This window comes from Homo sapiens, chromosome 4 (assembly GCF_000001405.40).
Source record: "Homo sapiens chromosome 4, GRCh38.p14 Primary Assembly".
NCBI lineage: Eukaryota > Metazoa > Chordata > Mammalia > Primates > Hominidae > Homo > Homo sapiens.
Genome location: NC_000004.12, coordinates 71,535,096 through 71,556,676, shown reverse-complemented (window position 1 = coordinate 71,556,676; position 21,581 = coordinate 71,535,096). Strand labels below are relative to the sequence as shown.

At 36.7% G+C, this 21,581-nt stretch overlaps 1 protein-coding gene across 13 annotated transcripts in view; it reads right to left on the bottom strand.

Annotated features, from left to right (window-relative positions):
* Positions 1–21,581, bottom strand: part of SLC4A4 (solute carrier family 4 member 4) — a 509,424-nt gene that overhangs the window by 15,407 nt on the left and 472,436 nt on the right. For all 13 annotated transcript variants that reach the window (XM_024454268.2, NM_001440628.1, NM_001134742.2 and 10 more), the window contains 3 exons: positions 10,149–10,327; positions 8,957–9,029; positions 1,469–1,537 (listed from right to left, as the gene is read on the bottom strand). In XM_024454268.2, coding sequence (XP_024310036.1) covers positions 1,469–1,537; positions 8,957–9,029; positions 10,149–10,327 — 321 coding nt within the window. The remainder of the gene's footprint in view (positions 1–1,468; positions 1,538–8,956; positions 9,030–10,148; positions 10,328–21,581) is intronic.

The window sequence follows — 21,581 nt, the reverse complement described above, 5'->3', positions numbered from 1 at the left end:
TGAAATCTTACCAAAAAGGTCTAAACAAGGGAGAATCGAGAAAGAAAGAAAGAGAAAAGCCATTAGGGGCAATAGCATTGCAGAATTTAAGAAATCTACTAGCTGGACCCTGGTTGTTTTTCCCCATCATTATTATGTGGTTGATTTTTTCTTCTTTTTAATTAAATAAACATGCACTGAGTTTCAACCAATAAAGCCCCTAAAACACATAGAATTAAACTTCTGATCTAGACCAGGTAATTAAGAGCAAATAAAAATAAGAACTATTTGTCTGTGGGCCATTTCTGTTTCACATTTTTCCATTTTGGGAAATAAAGAATATTTACAATGGCAGGTAAAAATAAAATATTTTTACAGATTTATGCTTCCCAAAAGTTTCATGAGCACAAATAAACTCACATTCATCTAGTCCACTCTATGAAGAACCACCTTGTATTTTGTAACAAATATCCAAAAGATGACGAACTCTACTCAGCAGACCTAAACAGAGAAAAGTAAAGTAGCCTTTTCTCTTTTTGGTAGTCTGGCCACTTGCCCAGTTCTATCTGACTTTAAAACCAAATTAATCTGAATTCAATAAGCAAAAGCAAGGACTATTTTGAAGGGGTTCAAATAAATTCTTATGATGTTCACAGGACATGCAGTCTTTTCCCATTAAAATATTACTAAGTGCTAAATAAGGCTACAGTTAACAAGGTGCCAGAAAACAGCATAAGTACTTCCAGTTTCCTGGTGCCAATTTAATTAAAACCCAATTGAAAGACAAAGTCCCTTACAAAGTTCTCCCTAATGATTTGGTTTTTTTAAAGAGACAGGGTCTCACTATGTTGTTGAGGCTGGACTAAAACTCAGGTTCAAGTGAACCTTTCACCTCAGCCTCCCAAGTAGCTGAGATTAAAAGTGTGCACCACCATGCCCAGTTGATAATGATTTTATTAAAAGTGTGTCAGTTTTCCCAAAGTTATGAATAGCTGAAGTTTTCAACAAAAGCAATACATCAACCACATTGACTTTATTCTTTTATTGGTAAAAAAACTTTTGATTATTGATCATAGCCATGTGAAAAGCAAATCAATAGCCTGTTTTTAGTATAGAGTTAAGGCAAATGGATAAACACTATCTTTAAGAACACACAGAAAGAGTTAGGTATCCTTCCTGAGACAGTAAAAAGGAGATAAAGATGGGTAAGGGGAAGGAAAAGAAAGATTATAGCCTCTTGCTTTCTTGGTTAAATGACTTTTAACAGCCTATTTAAACAATGGGTATGTATGGCAACTTTTCTTAATACTGGCTAACTTGTTGATTAAACCAGAAATGAAAAGCAGGTGAATGGTGAAGTAGAAAATAAATGCATTTTAAAAACTCAGCAGTTAATAATGATTAGCACTTTTCTTCAAAGATCTGTTACTGGACTATTCTTACTACTAGAAAAACACTACTGTACTTACATTGCTATTCAAAAACTTACCTGCACACCATTAAGGGATGCTACTCCCATATACAGGAACACACCATAGAGTACAGGCATGGGTATAAACTAGAAGGAAAAAAATGGATACAACTTAAAAATGATAACAAGAAAAAAGAGGAATGAAGAGGAATCATTTAAATAAAGGCTAAATCTAAAACTAAAATATAGGATATAATAACTTAGTGACCTCTAACTAGTATGCTTTACTAGTCAATTGATGAACTTCTAAACTCTTTGTAATAGAAATAAATGAAGAAGGGTATAATGGACTTTCAATTTTCATTGGATGCTTGTTTTTTTAGTGAGCATGCATGACCTTACTAATAACTTTTTTTTAATTAATGGAGGAAAAGTTATGTTTCCCTTCACCCTGAAAAGGAATAACTATGTAAACAAGATGCTTCTATGGACTGTGAGGTAGACAGAAACAGAGGTATTAATAGATGGTTGCCTCACTCTTGAGATCAAGTTCCTTTCAATATAGTCTGTTCATTTTTGTCCTTAATAATTTTTGCCAAATAGTCTATCAGCTTGGTATATAGATGCCTCTTTCAATAAAATAAACATCAAAAGACTATCCCCTCGCTTCTTGCAAATATTATGAGAACTAACTAAAGAGAACTGCTTGAAAGGACCTTGGAGCACTTGGAAGCAATTAATTACACACATGGATTAATACACATCTTTTAAAACTGAATTAATACCTTTTCATGCATTAGCAAAAAATATTTTATATTAATACAAAGTGTTTTAACAAGGAGAAGTGATGTCTGTAAACTGTATCTATTCCTAGACCTTTGAAATGTCCCTAGTACTGAGGAAACTAAGCAAATCAAGGATGATTCTGTTTCTGGGAAGTCTTCTGTTTGAAAAACAAAAGGTTCTCAACCTTAGAATTTGAAAAGAAGTTCAAGTAATTTCAGGATTTTTCAAAGCTAAAATACTAAAACCGCAAGTCAATTAAGGCCAATCTTACCAAATCCACATAAAGGAGGCTATTGTAACCAGAAAACATAGTATGGCTTTAGAGTAATTTTAAAAATACTGCACGTACTAAGTGAAGCACAATTTCTATCAGCCTCTCCTTGTGATTGCCTAAAGTAGTTCCATATCTGAGACTCTTTGGCCACTATTAGAGAATGAGTAAATTCTAAAATGTGTAACAAATATTTCCAATTTTTATTGGCTAGCCATAGGGATGCTTAAATTTATATGAAATAAATATCCTTATTTATATATACAAAACATCAAATGCTTCTTCAAAAAAAGACTAACAATTTTAATGTAGCTAATTTTGCTCTTGATGTCAGAAAAAACTAAAAGTGACATAGAATGTTGACGGGGGTAGGAGGGATGATGTTCCTGCTGGGGAAGCTGTAATACCTAACAGTCACCACAAAGAGGTGAACACATCACACTCAAGCCTCTTTATTTCTGACACATGCCTTCATTTATTTTGCAATGTGCATGTTTCTATTCCTTGTGATTCTTGTGTATAAATGTACCATAAAGTAAAAAAACTAAGAGAAGGATCATTGCATAGCTTTGATTCATTTTTTAAACATCTCCCATATTTCTTTCTTGTCATTTCATTTTCAATTTGGTGGGTGGTGGGGGTGGGGCAGCTGGAAGGAAAGAAAAGTAAGAAGGGAAAAGAGAAGTATAGTTCAACCATGGAAAACTAGTTAGAATTCCTGCAGTAGTTCCTTTTTAATCTGGGTAAAGCATTTTTCTTGCTTGAAAGAAAGCCACCACAAAGGGACCATCCCTGGCCTCATCCTCATCCCTCAGCTAGGCTTAGCTAAATGTTTTTTCTAATGTGGTTCTAATGTCAAAGTGAAGGACACTTTTGCCTTGGTGCTTAGTTCCATTCTCTGTGAATTTATTATTACAGATATCACCAAATCTACCACAAAATAAAATCAGAAGGTATCAGTAACATAGAATGGCATGGGTTGTGGGTAGAAAAATAGCTTTAGATATGAAGATGTTTTTTAAACAGTTATTCTTTGTTGAAAAGGAAATAATACATATAAAGAAGGCTATTAAGTTGACTTTGGGCCAACTTCAATGTGATAAAAATATGTCTTTTGAAATTTGCCATTTTCCTTATGATAATGCAACATCTCAATAAAAATCTTCCAATATGGAAAACTTGATGAAACTTGACAGAATTATTGGGTTAGAGGATACTTTTTATTGGATTTAGTTCATGGGTCACAGGAGGTCAATCCTTAAAAATTCATCACAAAATAATCATTTCTTGCAATAGAAATTTCTCAAAGGAGGAAAGAGAAGATGCATTTTAAGAAGATGGAACTCCATCTTAAGTTAAACCAGTATAATTTACATAGTAATAGTAGGTAGATATTTTTACAAAGCAAGACAGGAGTAATTAAAACATAAACAGCACAAAGTATACCATACAGGCATATCAAGAATTGCCAAATGATAAAATTATGTAAAGGAAATTTTATGGATAACCAATCATACCCAGAAAGCACAAAAGTATAATTATAAATAAGATTACCATACATGAAATCAAGTATTGACCCTACAAGCAGATGGAATAATTGAGATAAAATCAAAATAGGAGTTAACATACTCAGACCATGTCACCAAATTTTTCAAATTCTGGTGAATGCAGTTCTACTCTTTTTCACTTATACCTCCCTTTGATGTGCTGATAGTATTTGAATATTCCCAGAAGAGTAAACGAGAAAAGGGTAAATTTAAAAATAAGGGTAGAGTGTAGTTGTCCAACCAGAATTCAGTACAGCAGTGAGACCTTCTAGCAGAATAATCGTCACTGTATGTGTGTGTGTGTATGTGTGTGTGTATGTGTGTGTGTGTGTACATGTGAATGTACAATCCAGAACGAGATCCTGATTAAGAGCATGGGCACAAAAGTCAGACAGGCCTAGTTTCAAATTCTGGCCCTACTACTTATGTAACATTGAGAAATTACTAACTTTTCTTATCCTCAGTATTCTCATTTAAAAGAGGGTATGATAAAGAGTATATCACATAAAATATCTAGTCCAGGGCCTCATTCTGAATAGATAATAAATGATAAATGAGGTATTAATGTCATAATTATCATGAAGACCTGACTGGCAAGTCAAGAAGCCTGCTGCAATTGCCCAGCAGAACTCTCCTTGGTCCTCAGTGGTCAGGGTGGAAAATGGCAGGAGTACAGACCAGAAGAATGGCTGCAAAGGTCAGATTCAAAGCCCTGGTCTTATTTAAGTTCTACTATATTGCCCTTTCAGCAGTAACAACTATATTCAGAAACATGTTATTCAAATAATATCCTAATTCCCTTAAATCTTGAAAATCTAAGCTGATAAGGAAGTACTGACTTGCAATCTGGTTCCTAGTCATTGAAGAAACTGGAATGAGGTATGATGAGGAGTTTGTGAAAATGCTGTATTTATCTGCACATGAAAGGACTGGAAGTTGGATCAAAGAAGCTGGAGAAGATCATCTCATGGAAAATGAAAGTGAATGAGTTCTTTGAGAGCAAGTACTATGTTTTGTTTTAAATGGTTGTAAACCCTGAGGGTTATGAGATTGGCTTTCATGTCAGAACTGCCTGAATTCACATTTTGACTCTATTATTTACGAACTTTGTAACCTGGTAAGTCATTAATAAATTTTCTTATGTGTAAAAGAGAGACAATTTTTTGTAGGTGTCATTCATTGAAGGACTAAATTTTAAAAATCTGTGTTGAGCCCTTAATCAAATGCCGAGCTCAATAAATGGTAGCTACTACTATCATCATCATCATCACCATTACCATCATCTCTACCATTTTGCTTTCCCTGGCACTGAACAAAGTGACATATTGTGGCATATTGTAGAAGCTCAACAAATATTTTCCAAATACAAATTAAATGCTATCCTGATTTTAGAACACTAAACAAATCTTAAAGATAAATTTGACTACTCCTAATTAACTTGAATTAAACTATTTCAAGCAAAGGCAACAAAAGTAGCAGTGAACTTCACTTGATTTTTATTTCTTCAGACTTGCCAGAAAAATGGTAAAAGTAAGCTCAAGGAAGTGCCTTTCATCTTTTTGATGCTCTTTAGCCTCCTCTAGTTTCCCCATACAGAATACTCACTTACCAGGCAGTATTTCTGCTGCAGAAACACAGAACTAAGCTGTTTAACCAGCCAGGGGCGCCAGTTATTCTTGCTTCCCAACAGTTCAGTACCGAATCAGTGGTTAGATTCAGTGCTTTGAGGCATGTATGACTGTTGCTGGCTAGGGTCAAGGGGTATCCTCGTGAACTTAAAACTGTAATTCCTTACATTCTTCCACATAAAAGACGGACCTCAGCAAAGAGATCAGAATAAAAATGAAAAACTTCATTTTCAAAGTAAGCTTGCATAAACAGGCAGGAGAAACAACTTCCTACACTGCTTAATGCATGAAAGAAAATTACTAGGATCATCTGAGACCATTAAACTTGTGAGGGATATATGGAGTTTGCAGAAATGGTGTTGAGCCATTTCATTTTAAAAAGTAAAAGTAACACATTTCTCTTTTCCCATTCATTTGATCTGCCCTTTCAAAGACAGACTCTTAAGTAAAATGATTCTCTTAAGTTGTCCTCTGGTTCTCTAAAAAAACACATAGTCACAAAGGGGAGGAAAAAAGGTTTCCTACTCCAACATAACCCCTGACACCACTTTCTTTGTGAATTCTAAGGTTAATTGTTAATCTTGACTCTTACTTAGTCATAACTTAGGTTTTAGTTAAACTGTACCCTCAATATCTGCTTCTTCCTGTATTGACTTTTCAAATGAGCTAACAAGGGATTTGTGATAAACGCACTTAACTTACCAAACCTCAATGGTACATAATCTGAAAGTAGCTGACTTTATCAGGAGTTGTGATTCCCGAAGTAAGGAATAGCCTAACTTACTGAAGTAAAGAATCACAACTGCGAATCCTTGACTGTTTTATTCTTGTTGTTTTTAAATATAGGTTGTGTACAGTATGCTATAAACTATATTGCCAAAACAATTCCATTTCCCACATTTTGGGGAAAACCTTAACAAAAACGTTTGCTGGACTGCATTTTTCATTTATTCTTACAATGACTACTTGGGGTAACTCAAAATTGCCAGGTGGAAATAGCCACAATCATGAACACTAGCAGCTGAATGAGGATGAGCCCAGGTATGGATCAATTAAGGAAGGTCAAAGGGAAAGAAAGCTCATGCTCACTGATCTCTTACAGCTCTCTGCCTTCTTTCTCTCATTCTAATCTGTTTCTGTAAATACTAAGGCACTTTGCCTATCAGGGGTGAAAAGAATCATTGTAAAGAACAAAAGAACTTTCAGCTTTAACTCCTCTGCAGCCATATTTGGGTGCAGGGTGAGAAAATAGTTAGGAAGAGGCGTTGTTGAAAATGTAAGTCTTGCATCTCTCCTAAAAATAGTAATTATACAGTATCTATTCTCTGTGTCCCCTTGGAATCATCCATGATTACTCAACTGTCAGATTCTCTAGGAATAAAGCCAATTTGCTGTAACATATACACACAAAAGGAACTTTTAAACACATCTGACTTTTTTGAATTAGGATTTTATACTGTATTAATGAAAAGAAATAATATAAAAATAAAAGAAAAATGGGGGAGGCGATGAGTAAATTAGAACTGATGAAAAGATTCTGCCCATTTATCCCTCACTAGTGACTGAGCACAAAGAGAGCTCATAAAAGAAACTCTGCACCTACTTGAAGTGAGCCCACCTTCAAGGAACCCACAGGGAAAATTCATTTCCAGGAGAGCTTCTCACAACATGGGCTCATAATTGTCTGCAGTGAACTCTCTAAAAATGATCTCACTGGATGAGGTTCCATTGCCTAAAAGGTAACACTGTCATTAGGCTTTCCACCAGCTGATGTGCTGGTGCCTATAGGATAACGGAAGAACATAAAGCATTTGGCAGCAGATTCAATGCTGTGAAAGTCACCACATCTTCACACTTATCCCATAACTTGCTTTGCACTGGCAAAGGTGACAAAAGGTTTCCCTCTGTCCCTGCAGAACATAAGCTCTGTACTCTTTTACAGCCCTCTGTACATAGTCAGAAACAACTTTTCTGAGGTTATTTTTAATCTTAATGTCTTGTCTAAGATGAGATACATATTTCCTCATGAATCCAGTCAGAAATTAATTAAACCAGTTCATTGACATTGTGGAAACCAAGGAAAAAAGATGAATAATTACATATTTTAACTGTTTAACAAGTATTTTGTGCATACTGTATACATCAGTCTAAATACCCTGAAGGCAATCTTAGTCTTATTTACAGATCAAAGATATTACAGTTCCACTTTCCTCAATTTCATCTGATTGGCAACTGACATAAAATTTGCTAACTTTAGATGAACAGAGGGCTTTTGCTTTTCACTATGTGTACTTCTATATTGTTTGAATTCTTCAGAAGATTGTACTGCCCCATTACTTATGTAATTATATGAGCATTTTAAAAGCCTTTAAAATTAAAATGTTTAAAAATAAAAATTGTAAGAGAAAATTTGGAAGGATATCGTTAACAGTGGTTGTTTATAGCTGTTAGGTCCATGGGTGAATTGCATGCTTTGTACTGTAGTATAAAGCATAAGATACAAACTATCAATAATTCGCAAGCATGTTTATATGATTGAAAAAAATAAAATGTTTGCATCATAAAAGAAAATTGGAAACTTCATGAAGAGGTATACACTAACTTTCTTTAGTTTTTAGTTTTAGTTTACTTCTTAATAGGTTGTCACATACAGTTTGCATTTATCTATCTAGGCAGATATCCAACCCATCAATAAACCTATATATTGACCCCTAATTTTCTAAACAACCAATATCATATAATTTTTCTTCTTCAAAAGTTCATTTCTAAAGCTTTCTAATTATGAGTCAGTAATTTTACTCTAATTTACCTTTGTGAATTATAAGGCCATCTGATTCAAATAAAATAGAAACAAAGTAATAATTAAGAATAGTCGAAAAATATCAAAATGGTTATCCTGCATCACTCATGTTATTTAGGAGCCTAATGAGGGAAGAGGGACAAGATTTGGATACAAGCAAATGGAAGGTGATAGAAGAAAGAATGTATAAAAGACAAGGAGAATAAAAAATGTGTGTGTGGAGGAGGGGGAGAAGATCAGTCTGATTCAATTGCATGAAACTACTATTTTCACAGATCAGAAAGTTTGGATATTGTTAATTTAATATAGTTCAATCAAATAACTGCAAAACTAAGGATAAGGGAGGGGATGAAAGAGTGAGAAGGAAATCAAGACAAAAGCTATTTAAAGCTCTCTTTCTACTTGACCCCTGCTTCAGTGTGTTACAGAACTGATGAGAATCTCGCAAATATCTCATGAGGAATTTCACTCTTCACATGTCCAATTATATGTCAGTGTTCTGAGAAGGAAGAGGTGAATGTTTCACATATTTACCTTCAAGATGGGAGCCATAAAGACTGACAGACCAGTCAGAATAAACACAAGGGTTCCAGTGACTCTTTGTTCCCTGAAACCAAATCAAAAGATTACCAATCTACCTCTTGTCTTCATAAACATGCTCTTGTCTTTTCACCTTCAAAAAAACTACACATTGACAAAATCAATGTTTGGCTAAAACAACAAAGGTGTTGATATCATGTAAATAATACCTCAAGGATAGCGTATAAACCCAACGTAACTATAAAAAAATCTCTTAAAGTGACTGCAATATGTGATTTGAATTCACGAAGAAAGAAGTAATCCTGCTAAATTTTTTGCTCCTTTTGGAATCAAGAAAGAAAAATCACTTGCTCTTGGTCCATCAATTACTGGACTCTTTGAAGACCTTATTTTTTAAAGCAATTTATCCTCTTGTGTAATTACCCTTACACCTTCTTTCATAGGAGACAGATATTACATTGTCCCATATTCCAATTAACAAACAGCTCAAGGAAATTTCATTAGCACAATAAATCACATCAGTCTAATTTCCAAATCTACAACAACAAAAGTACTTTTCAACAAATATAATTCCCATCCTACACCCCCTCCCCACCCCAAAAAAGAATCACCCACTGTTTTGCCGTGGGAAACGATGGCTCTGTCATGTGAGCTCTCTACCCAAGCACTTATGAGCAGAGTTTGCTGTAAAAAGTGCTCAACAGAGTATAAAAACCTTCTACTCCTGCCCTTCACAGCTACCCAAATTGAACGTCTGGAGGTTAAAGTTTCTCAGTGTTTATGGGGACAGAAAATGAATTGGAAAATAAGAATACCTTTCCCATTACAGAATCTTAAAAGTCATAAGCAGACTCAAGAGTTTTAGGGCCTTCACATATGACTGTGATACAGTAAACACTGCAGCACCAAAATCACCTGCATGTTGAAAAAAAGTAATCTGGTTGTAGTTTTATATTGCAACATTTAGCCTTTTGGAAATCCATGAAAATGATATATCATGAGGAGTAAACTAAAAAAATCACTGAAACCTCTGATGAAAATTTAGTCCTTTCTGGAACAAAAAATATAGGAATAAATTAATCATCACAAGCCCTGTCTCCTCCAAATCTGCCCATATCCTTATGATTGCCACATAGATGTGTGCACAGTGTGTTTTCGGGAGCCATTTTCCTCTGAGTTAACACACCTCACTCCTAGAAACTTTGGTTGTTCTCCAGGTGCAGAAGTCTCTGTCTCCATCTTCAAACTGTCGATGTGAGCAATGGAGATGACCGTAGCAGCTACATACCACGGAAGAGCCATGAGGGAGCATATAACCATGAGGATGGCCACCCAAAAGAGATCCAAGTGATACCCTGCTCCTTTCTGTAGAAAGAGATAACAAAACCATGTGAAGAAAAGACTCATATTCGCTATCTAGTCATATTTCCAGAGGGGAATTAAGATGACCAAAGGAAACTGACTTGCTTTGCTTGGTAAGTTAAACTCCTTGAAAGAGGGGACTTTATCTTCTTTGTATTATTCCCCCTAGCAATTAAACACACAGCTGCATCTTATAGCTGCTATGGTAGAGACCTTCTGTACTATAGTGTTGAATAACTGTTTAAGACTTAAGTCAAAGATACACTTATTATTTGTTTATTCCTAACCTATCTGTATACAATTTTCTAATCAGAACAATGGAGATATATATGCCCACTCCATAGAGGACTTAAGACCATTCAATGAAGTAACACAGGCAAAGCATCTTGTAGCAATTTAAACTGTAGTTGTTAATGTCATAGGTGCTTAATAAATGGTGATAGCGGCAGTAGTGGTACTGGTTGTTTTTGTTAAGATAAACATAATAAGCACCTTGAAAGCAGGCACCCTGCCTTCTCTACTGGACAGCGCTGAGTAGTATGCTGTTCATCTAGACAGTACTCAACTTATGTAAGGATCCGAAAGCAAGATTGAGAAGGTATGTAGGCCATTTCTCAGCTTTCATAATATGTGAAAGTAAATGTTTAACAATCTATTATATATCACCATTAACGTAATAAACACTCCCTTAATCAGAATAGGCCGATTTCAAACATTGCCCAATGGTCACAATAACATTTACTGACTGGAAGAGCAGACAATGTAACAAAAGATCTAGCTTTTTTACTCATTAAATAAATATTGTTAAATGTGTCCGCAATGTTATTCTATGGTTCTATTTCTTTGCTCTATTTATGAAGAAATCAAATACTTGATACCCCTATGGAGCCTGAGAAAATAGAGCAGTCCATTTTCACAGCAGGGAAGCAGCAGTGCCAAGAGCCAGAGTATGACCAATCCAAGGAATAAAGAGGTTGGTTTTAAAAAATGAGGATGTGATTTACACTAGGAACCTGGTGACTGTTATCATTCAGATCTTGTTACAGTTCGTCACAACACTGCTCTCCTCTCACTGAAATGCCAAGATTTCACCCCTGGCTCACGCACATGGATCTAATCATGTTCTGAGAACTCATCACAGGCAAGGGAGCTAGTACAAGAAAGAAAAGCATGTATTCACCTAGTCCAGGCTTGGCTAAGAACAAAAATCTACTTGGGATTATGAATAGATATAGGTTAATATACATTCATAAAACCAGTTCTTTTCAGGAAGGCATAATAGTTTGAATTGAGAGTGGTGTAAGGCAGAGGAAAGGAGGGCAGAGGTGGGATGAGCTGAAATAAATTTGTTCAATAATGACTAGTGAGGTGAATACCATGATATATCTGAGATTTCAGTCATTCATTCTTTCAATGAGTATTGACTGCCAACTTAGTACCATGCTGGTGACACATCTGTGAATAAAACAGACAAAAAAAATCTTGCCCTCATGGAGTCTCCATTCTACTGAGGGAGACAACAATGAATACCATAAATAAATAAAATATGCAGCTTCTCACCTAGTAATAAGTACTACGGAGAACTATCAGAACCTAGGCTTGTAGAATGAGTATAATGGGAAACCACTGGAGGGTTTGAAATGGAGGAGAGTCATGGTTTGCTTATGTTCTAAACACACTGGCTGCTGTGTTAGGCGAATAGGGAAAAGATAGTAAGACTAAATAACCATTGGAAGAAACTGTGATGATTAGAACCAGAGTGGTGGCAGTGAAGATGGTAAGAAGCGGTTGGGTTCTGGCTATACCTTAAGGTGGAGCCTACAGAATTTTCTCCCTCCTCCCTATTTGTGTGTCTAAGACCCCACTATGGTTCATTCATGATCTGGCCTCTGTTCACATCTGCAGCCTCATCTTTAATCTCTCTCATGCTTGGATCCTGTGCCACCACCACTTTCAACCACCTGCAATGCCTCATATGTGTTTCTTTCACTGATGCTTTCTGTGTCTTTGCCAACATAGCCTCTTCTACCCGGAATAACCTCTACTCTTCCTTTGTTCTTTCTCTCGCTCAGTCCTATGTATCCTTAAGGCTTAAATTAACCCTCACCTTTTCTGGTTGGTTTTCCTTCCTCAACCTAGGTGAGATAAGTAAGTCAAGTTAGGTTAGTTCTCCTCCTTTATGTTTCCCTGCTTTGCATTTTATGACTTCCTCTATCACAACACTCGTCACACTAATTCTGAAATTATGTATGTATTCATCTGTCTTTGACATTAGACTGTAAGTAATATGAGGACCGGACTGTATCTTTTTTTCTCTGTATTCTGAATACCTTAGCAGAGTGCATGATGCACAGCTGATTCTCAATAAATGTTTATTTTTAGAAAAGGAAAAATAGCATGCATATACTCCCCTTACTGGCAATTATAAACTCTTGTTTAGCCATGAAAAAAATGTAACACTTTATTGTAAATTCACAGACATGAGAAACATTTGTGGGGAGGTAAAAAAGGAGAAAAACAGTAGAGACATCACAGAATTTTTATGCCCTCTTTAGACTAAATCACTGAAGTCCATATTAGAAGTACCAGCAGGGTAATAATGAGAAGAATCCACAAATCTTGTTACCAAAAAACCTGTAGTAATCTAAGGATGTGGACACTAGCCAGATGAATGGGTCAAAAGAATAGCTTATGTAAAAAAAAGTCACCCATGTTACCCTGCATCATCTCGATGCTTTCTGGATCTATTTCCACTAAAACAAGTTTGAGTTACATATGTCCAAGACTAGCAAAAAGGCCCATATGAAAGAGGGTGAAATGAAGATTTTAGATGATGGACTATAAAGGTAACTATATATAACCATCAGAATAAACAAAGGTTCTGGGATAAAATAATTACAGATAGATAAGTACTCTGTTTCCCTTGACATCACTGCTTTCAAAAAGTCTTCCATCTCCTCAGCCACACTGGACTTCTTTTTGTTCTTAAGGGGAAGGGAAAATCACCAATGTGACCTGAAGGCCCTACCTGGTCTGCCTCTACCTCTTCTCCAGCCTCAACTCTCTCATTGCAGCCACACAGGATTATTTCAATCACTGGTTCTCACCAGGTACCTCCTTTTGTAAGGCCTATGCATACACACTGATTTCTCTGGGTGTCCAAAATAGTCTTCCCACCCAGCCTCATTTAGCTAATTCTTGCTAACATTTTAGGTCTCAATATAAGTGCCATCACATTAGGGAACTCCCTCTCAACATACCATCTCCTTCTCCTTCACAACATCAGCCACATTTGCGGTGTCACATTGTGCATAATTATGTGAATTGTGCCTCTCTCTCTCACAGTTCCATGAGGACAGGAACCATGTATGTTTTTGTTCACCACCAAACTAGCACTTGGCACAGTGCGTACCACAGAATGGATACTATAGATAAATGTTTGATGGATAAATGAATAAATGCTAATTCGCTCATTCAATGGCACTCTGCTAGACCCTGGAGGTAAAGTTATAAATAATACACAGTCCTTCCCTCCAGTGGTTTACTGGAATGGTAGAGCTGGTCAAAACAACAGGTGTTTATAAAACCACAGTGTTAAAGGCCTACAGTAGGGGTGAATTCAGGGTGCTAAGAAAGCATCCAGGAGGGGTACCCAACTTAGCGCAAAGTCAGGGATGGTTTGCATGGGGGTAGTATTTAGGTTGAGTTCTAAAATATGAGCCATAACCAGCTCAGAGATAAGAAGTACGTGAAAAACTATGTAAAGCAAGTTGCCATTCTGAGAAAATGAAATAGATTTGGTGCACAGGAGAAGATGGGGGAGGTAGAAAATTAGGCTAGAGAAGTTAAGAACTTTTATGTTTTGCTAAAGGCTTTGGAATTTTTTATCACAAGAGCAATAGGAAGTCACTGAAGGGTTTTAGGCAGGCAAGTGATATAATCAGATTTCTATTTAGAAGGATGGCTCTGTTGGGACTATAAACGGTATATTGGGAGTGGTCAAGATTAGAGGCAGAGGACAGACACGACAACACTGTTATAATCCAGGTTTGAGAAGATGCAGTTTAAACTAAAGGAACAACACTGGGGAGAGTTTATGGAGAACAAGGTCAAAGATAAAAAAGTGATAAATTTATTTTGCCAAATTTCAACATGTAAGGCTTACCATGTCTAGTACAGTGTCCGACAAACATTAAACTCTGGAGACACATTTGTTGAACAGAATGGTAAAAGCTATGCTTCAAATTCATGTTGCCCCAAACTATTGCCATGAGACCCAAGAATGCAAATGGTTATGTCAGAGAAGTTGTTTCTGCAAAACCACCTATATATGCATAAAAACAAGCCACTTCTAAGATGTCCCTTTGAGTTAAAAGTATCTGAATGACTAGATTTGAATGGAATAAAAATAATATTCAAATACTGGTCCTTTTTATATAAAGAATACTGCAAGAAATATGGAAAACAGTATTTTTCAAAAATAACATATGAAACTTTTTATCTGTTCTGTACTCCTCCTCCCCACTGCCATTACCTTTTTCAGATTCTCATCCTTTCTCTCCTGGATTATGCAGCAGCCTCTTCCCACCCACCTTCCCTTTCCACTCAGCTCCCCCCACCCACCTCCACTCTTGTTCCTCCCCCATCCATCCTCACTGCTGCCAGACTGAGTGTTTCAAATGCAGTTCTGACCCCATCAAGCCCAAGCTGGATATCGCTGAATAGGGGAGGCCACAGGCAGCTGAGAAGGCCGAGCAATACAAAGCCTCCCTTTCCATGCTCCTGCATCTAAAACTCTGAGGAGGCCCTCAGGGATTCCAGAAACTCTACAAATCCCTAAATGTGCCTTGCATATTCTGTGCTCCTGCACTTTCCTATGTGCCACTCTTTGAATTGGGATTCTGCTTCTACTCCTTGACATTTGCTTAAAGCCATTCTCTCCTTTCAGTGCTCCATGCAAATTCCCCTTCTTCCTTCACACCATCCAGCAACCAACCCTCAGCCCTCAATGCTGCTCTCACCACAAACGTCCCTGTTTTTCTCTTGTCCCTGACAACCCACTCTCCTCACGAATGAATCTTTTTTAAAAATCGAAATCATTATATGCCACTTCCCTGTTTAAAGTGATTCCTGTTTCACTTAGAATGAAAAACTAAACGCTGCAAAATTATCTTTAAGTTTCTACATCAGAGCCTCCTCCCAGAACTATTTTGCTCTCATCTCCACTCCCAAGGGACGTTTGGCAATGCCTGAAGACATTTTTGGTTGTCACAGCTGGAGGGTGTAAATGCCTCTACTGGCCAGAGACTAGAAATGCTGATAAACAGCCTACAATGCACAGGAAAGCTACCACCAACAAAAAAATTTCCAACTGTCAATAATGCTGAAGTTCAGAAACTTTGTTCCATGTGACCTGGCCCCGTTAACTTTGACCTCATCTCAATGAATTAATTCCCCAAGTCTTAGTCACACTGGCCTACTATATGTTTCTCCATATACCAAGCTCCTTCCCTCCCTGGGCCTTTTGCATTTGCTCATATCTTTGGATAGGAAATGATTCTTTAATAAGTATTCATTGACAGATACAGATTATTAATTGAGGGCAGACATGAAAACAAATAATTTAATGTTCATGCAAGGTACAAGGCACAAAGAAAGGCATGGTCAATTCCAACCTTGGTGTTGTAATAGACAGGTGGTGAATAGGGAAAATCCATTAAACTCCTTCAGGGCACAGACGGCAATGTAGAACAATTTTTATCTTCAACATCTAACACAAGTGTTCCATACATAGCAAGCACTCAATAAATGCTCAAAAGGTTAAATATGCCCTTTAAAGTTTAAAAGACTTCTTGTTTCCATGAATACAAACCAAACGGTTGTTCTATTTTCTGAAACTGGAGATTATTTTAAGTACAAGGAGAGAAAGTGAAACTTTATTTCCTTTTGAAATTGTATATGCTTTACTAATACAGAGTACAAATCATTTAGGAATAAATCCACAGAAATCAAAATCTATGAAAGAAAAAGACTAGCCCAGCGGCCTAAAGTTTACATGTGGTACATAGTTGATAACAAAGGAGAGGTGAGGAGCAGTAAACACTGGGACATGCAGGGACACAGAATAGACGTTCATGCTAGGGGCCCACAAAGATCCAGACAATATGCTCATTTATGGGGACACTAAGAGCCATGACATGGTTCCTCCCACCAAGGGGCTCAGAATTGAAGAAGGGGACACAGACTTGTACACAAATTATAATGCACTCTGAATAGAGATTCAAAGAGGTTTGGAAACGATAATAAAAAGTACAGATAATGAAGTGTTTAACTATGTCTACAGTAAATTCACAAAAACTCCCTGCAGTGATGACATCTAAACAGGGCTTTGACCAATATAAGCACACACTTTGAGAAGTGGAGAGTTTATATGTTTTGCAGTTATCACCCATTTCACACAGTGTAACAACTGAGAGCCATGTGGGCCAAAGAGAATAAAATTCATCAACATGTATTTATTGAGTCTACCATATGAAACTGGTGGGCCAAACGAGAGCTGAAAAGAGGAATAAAACATGGTCCTGACCTTGAAAACATTTTGGCCAAGAAAAGGGATAAAGTAATTATACAAAACAGATACTGTAAAAGAAATATGTGATCTGTGCCACAGAGTAATACAAATATACTAAGAGCAAAAACAAGAGAAATATAAATTACATTAAAGGTGAAAGCTACACTGAGAAGTTTTTGTATTTGAATTATCTTAAAGGATGGAGAGGATTTTGAAAAATAGCAATCATTAGGAAGTAAGGAGAAGAGGTTTCTGGCTGGAGTACCTAGCAGAAGAAACTGTCACGCTTAAGGAAAACTCAACTGTTCATTTGACTAGAGCACTGGCTAGCATTTGAAGAAAGCCATTTTAAACTTAGGTCGTGGTACTCTGGCAAAGAGTCTTAAAACCCAGGCTAGGACAAATGGAAGTTCTTTGAGAGGTAAAGATTTAAAGGGGCCAAAGTGTGAAAGTTTAAAAACACAGGACTGACATACAAGAATAGCATTTAAAAAAAAAATGAAGGCTTTTGGAATGAAGCAAGGAAGATTGGTTATTATGGCTAACCCTTTAGAAGAGTCTAGGCATAAAATAAAAGGACTGAGTCTATAGGATTATGAGAGTAGAAATAAAAAGGAAAAATGAAAGTAGGGCAAAAATAGGAATTTGGGAGTTATCCAAAAAGAACACCCTCAAATTAAGGGTTTTCCCATAAAAGATATCAGAGCAAATTGGTTGCCACAACCACCTCATATCTATTTCTAGATATCTATCCTAAATTATTTCTCCCTCCTACCCCCAATCTATAACACTCTCGAAATCACCTTCCTTGTGAGAAGTATCTCTGACTTTGCAGTCTGAAGCTCAGACTCTATTCCTTCTTCTGCCAATGACTCAGGGAATGACCTTAAAGGAATCATGACCTTGCTGACCCTGGCTTGCTTTTGAGCACTCTGCAGGGCTAATGCAGGGCATAAACAACCAAAATAATGGTCAAAGAAAGCCAAGTGTCTTGGCGTTCCTACATCAATACTGAGGTGTTCAGCAGAGTGGAAAGGTGGATCCCATCCCAAGCAGAACAGACAGCCAGAGCCACTTGACCGGAAGCCAAAGCAAATGCCACCCAAAAACATGCTGTTTTTAATACCACAATGCTTCTATCTCTCTCAGTTTCAGCTTTCTCTTTTGAAACAATTTCATAGCAGTTAAGGCCCTTTACAATTTTAGACAGAATCTCCAGTGTTCATATTCCACAGCTCTCCTTTCCTAACAAAATATGAACAAAACAATTTTCAGAGTGAAAAGCCTTTGATTAATGATGAAATGTTCACTGGTATCATTAGATTTGTGACAAAAGACTGACACCTATTCCATAACTCTCATTATTCAAAAGAATGATTTCAAGTGGCAATTCTGAAGGTGATGAAAACTTATTTTTTATATATTCAACTCTTATTTTAAGAGGCAAACCCTAATAAACCTTGATTTTCTAATGTTTTCTACTGAAAATAAGATTAAAAATGTCTGTATTTTATCATTCCTAAACTTCCGAAATTCTAAATTCTGAATTTTATCAATAAGAAAACATAGTGAGTAAAAATTAGTAGGAGATTTATTTACCTCCAAAGATACAGGATAAATCTAGCCAACCGTAGATCATAATTAAGAATTTGTTAACAAATTTTTTTCAGAATAAAAATATTAGTCAACAACCATTTCTAGCCTTTGGTAAACTAAACCAACATCAGAAACCCTCTCAATACAGAACATCTGAAAATGCTCAAAAAGACACAGAAAATATATTTTAGAAACTATGGCTCATCCACTAGAAAGAGGAACAATTGGATACAAAAAACAACAGCCACGCGAAGAAGCAAATCCTTGGAGTTAGTAAGCCCTGGAGCCTGGGACTGCCCTGAGAGAGACCGTGCCAATCCTTGGAGGCTTACGGCCTGAATTAGAATGACCATCTGAACTCTTGGGACAGAGACCAATTCTCGGGCTCTGTGGGAGAGGGCATAGATGGGAGATACCACCCAAAATAAAACGAGTACACTCTAAACATGGCATACTCAGTTGGCCAATCAAAAAAAAAATACCCCACAGAGAAAGATAGTGGGAACACATGCCTCTCTCAGCCTTGCCATTGGGTATAATGCCAAAAGAAGGGAAAAGAAAGAAAGAATCTCCCAGGATAGGGATATTCCTAACCACAACTCTACAATTGGGTTTAGAGCTGGAATTCACATTATCTCTGTGGCCTCGAAATTCCTAAGGCAAACTTGTAGTTTAAAGTTATCTGGCCTTTTATAAATTAGTCTTGGGCTTCTCTCTCTCTTTCTCTCTCTCTCTATATATACACACACACACACATATATGTATATATACACACATATATGTATAATATATACACACACATATGTATATATACACACATATGTATATATACACATATATGTATAATATATACACACATATATGTAGACATATGTGTATACATATACATATATGTAGACATATTTGTATTATATATTAACTCATTACCTTTTCATAACCACCATATGAGGGAAGCATGAAAACGCATTAGAGTCTGTTACCCAGAAGGAGAGGATATTACTAAGAATAGAGTTCAGCACAGTAGGTATAGCAGGAAAAATATTCAGGAAATATAAAGAATTGGCTGACTATAGAAACCCATTGAGCAGAGGAATGAGAGAGATGAGGAAGATTCTGATAAACTATCCAAGTAGGGAGAACTTAAAAAGCTGTAGATCGTGGTAAGAAAGGATATGTATATGTATATGTGTGTATACATATACATATACATATAAGAAAGGATATGTATATACACACATATATACATATATGTGTGTATATATTATATGTGTGTATATATACACATACACAAAGATAGATAGATATGCAATATCAAAACTATATCTCCTCAAGCTTCTAGATCAAATGGCCAATTTAAAGGAAGCACAGAAGACAGAAGAATATGCTTAAATGGGCCAGGCATGGTGGCTCATGCCTGTAATCCCAGCACTTTGGGAGGCCAAGGTGGGCGGATCACGAGGTCAGGAGTTCAAGACCAGCCTGACCAACATGGCAAAAACCCGTCTCTACTAAAAATACAAAAATTAGCTGGCATGGTGGCATGCCCCTGTAATTCCAGCTACTCGGGAGGCTGAGGCAGGAGAATCACTTGAACCCCGGAGGCAGAAGTTGAATTGAGCTGAGATCAAGCCACTGCACTCCAGCCTGGGTGACAGAGCAAGACTCTGTCTAAAAATAAATAAATAAATAAATATATACATATATATATATATATATATATGTATATATGTATATATGTATATATGCTTAAATGATACCACGGGGAAGCAATCACCAAGATCTAGACTATGGCAAATTTTTCAGTACAAATGTAGCAGATTTTATTTTCCAAAAATGGCTGGAAAACATCTCCTATCTTACACGGTTTTCTGTAATACGACCTTGCCATTCCCCCATTAAAAGGAGAATTCCCCCCTCACCCCCTTGAATGGAGGCTGCCCCTGTGACTATTTTGACCCATTGACTACAGCAAAGTAAAGAAGTAAGGCTGTGCCAGTTGCAGATATAACCATTTAATGGCCTAGCATCTTCCACTTCTTAATTCTTAAGTCAGCTGCCATGTAACAAGTGCAAATAACCCAACATTACCAGAATGTGAGAAGCTCAATGATCTTAGAATTAAAAGTATCTCAGAGCAGTACAGTATCTACTCACGGCAGGAGTGGGCATAGGGGGAAAGTCATTTTAATGTAATTTTCCAACTGAATTTGCAACCTTTTCTTTCATCATAAGTGAAAACCACTTGGTTTCCTTTGGGAGCACTGATTTCTTGCAGAGATTTGTTCTTTAGTGACAGTCTAGTTTTTTTGTTGGTTTGTTTGTTTTGTTTGTTTGTTTTACTCTCCATGTTAGATGGGAGCATACCTCACTTGTTTTCGTGCTTTATGAACTGCCTTGTATTGAAGCCCAGTTATTCTTCATTCTGCCCTTCCACATCACTAAATATGCCGACCTCCAGGACAGTTATATACTTTTACTTATGGTTTTAGCAACTTTCCCATGATGTTCTTCTCTACCATGCTCTGTGCCACTTTCCAATCATATCAATATTGAGGCAGGTGATACTTTCAGTTCACCAGACTCACATTACTCTAACTTACAAGTTTTGATGGACGTCATTGTCAACATGCTTCGGGAGCTAGCCACATGCTTTGGACCAGTTCATCAATCTCAGCTTTCTCTCCTTCCAAACTCTCAAAATCTAAACATCTCTTCTTTGACCAAAGCTTTTAATTTTCTTCTCCTGGTCTTATTATTATGGGATTTACTCCTTTCTTACCATGATCTACAGCTTTTTAAGTTCTCCCTACTTGGATAGTTTATCAGAATCTTCCTCATCTCTCTCATTCCTCTGCTCAATGGGTTTCTGTAGTCAGCCAATTCTTTATATTTCCTGAATATTTTTCCTGCTATACCTACTGTGTTGAACTCTATTCTTAGTAATATCCTCTCCTTCTGGGTAACAGACTCTAATGCATTTTCATGCTTCCCTCATATGGTGGTTATGAAAAGTTAACGAGTTAATATATAATACAAAGTGCTTAGAAGATGGCCTGGCTCATAGTAGCCCTCCACTAAATAATAGCTCTT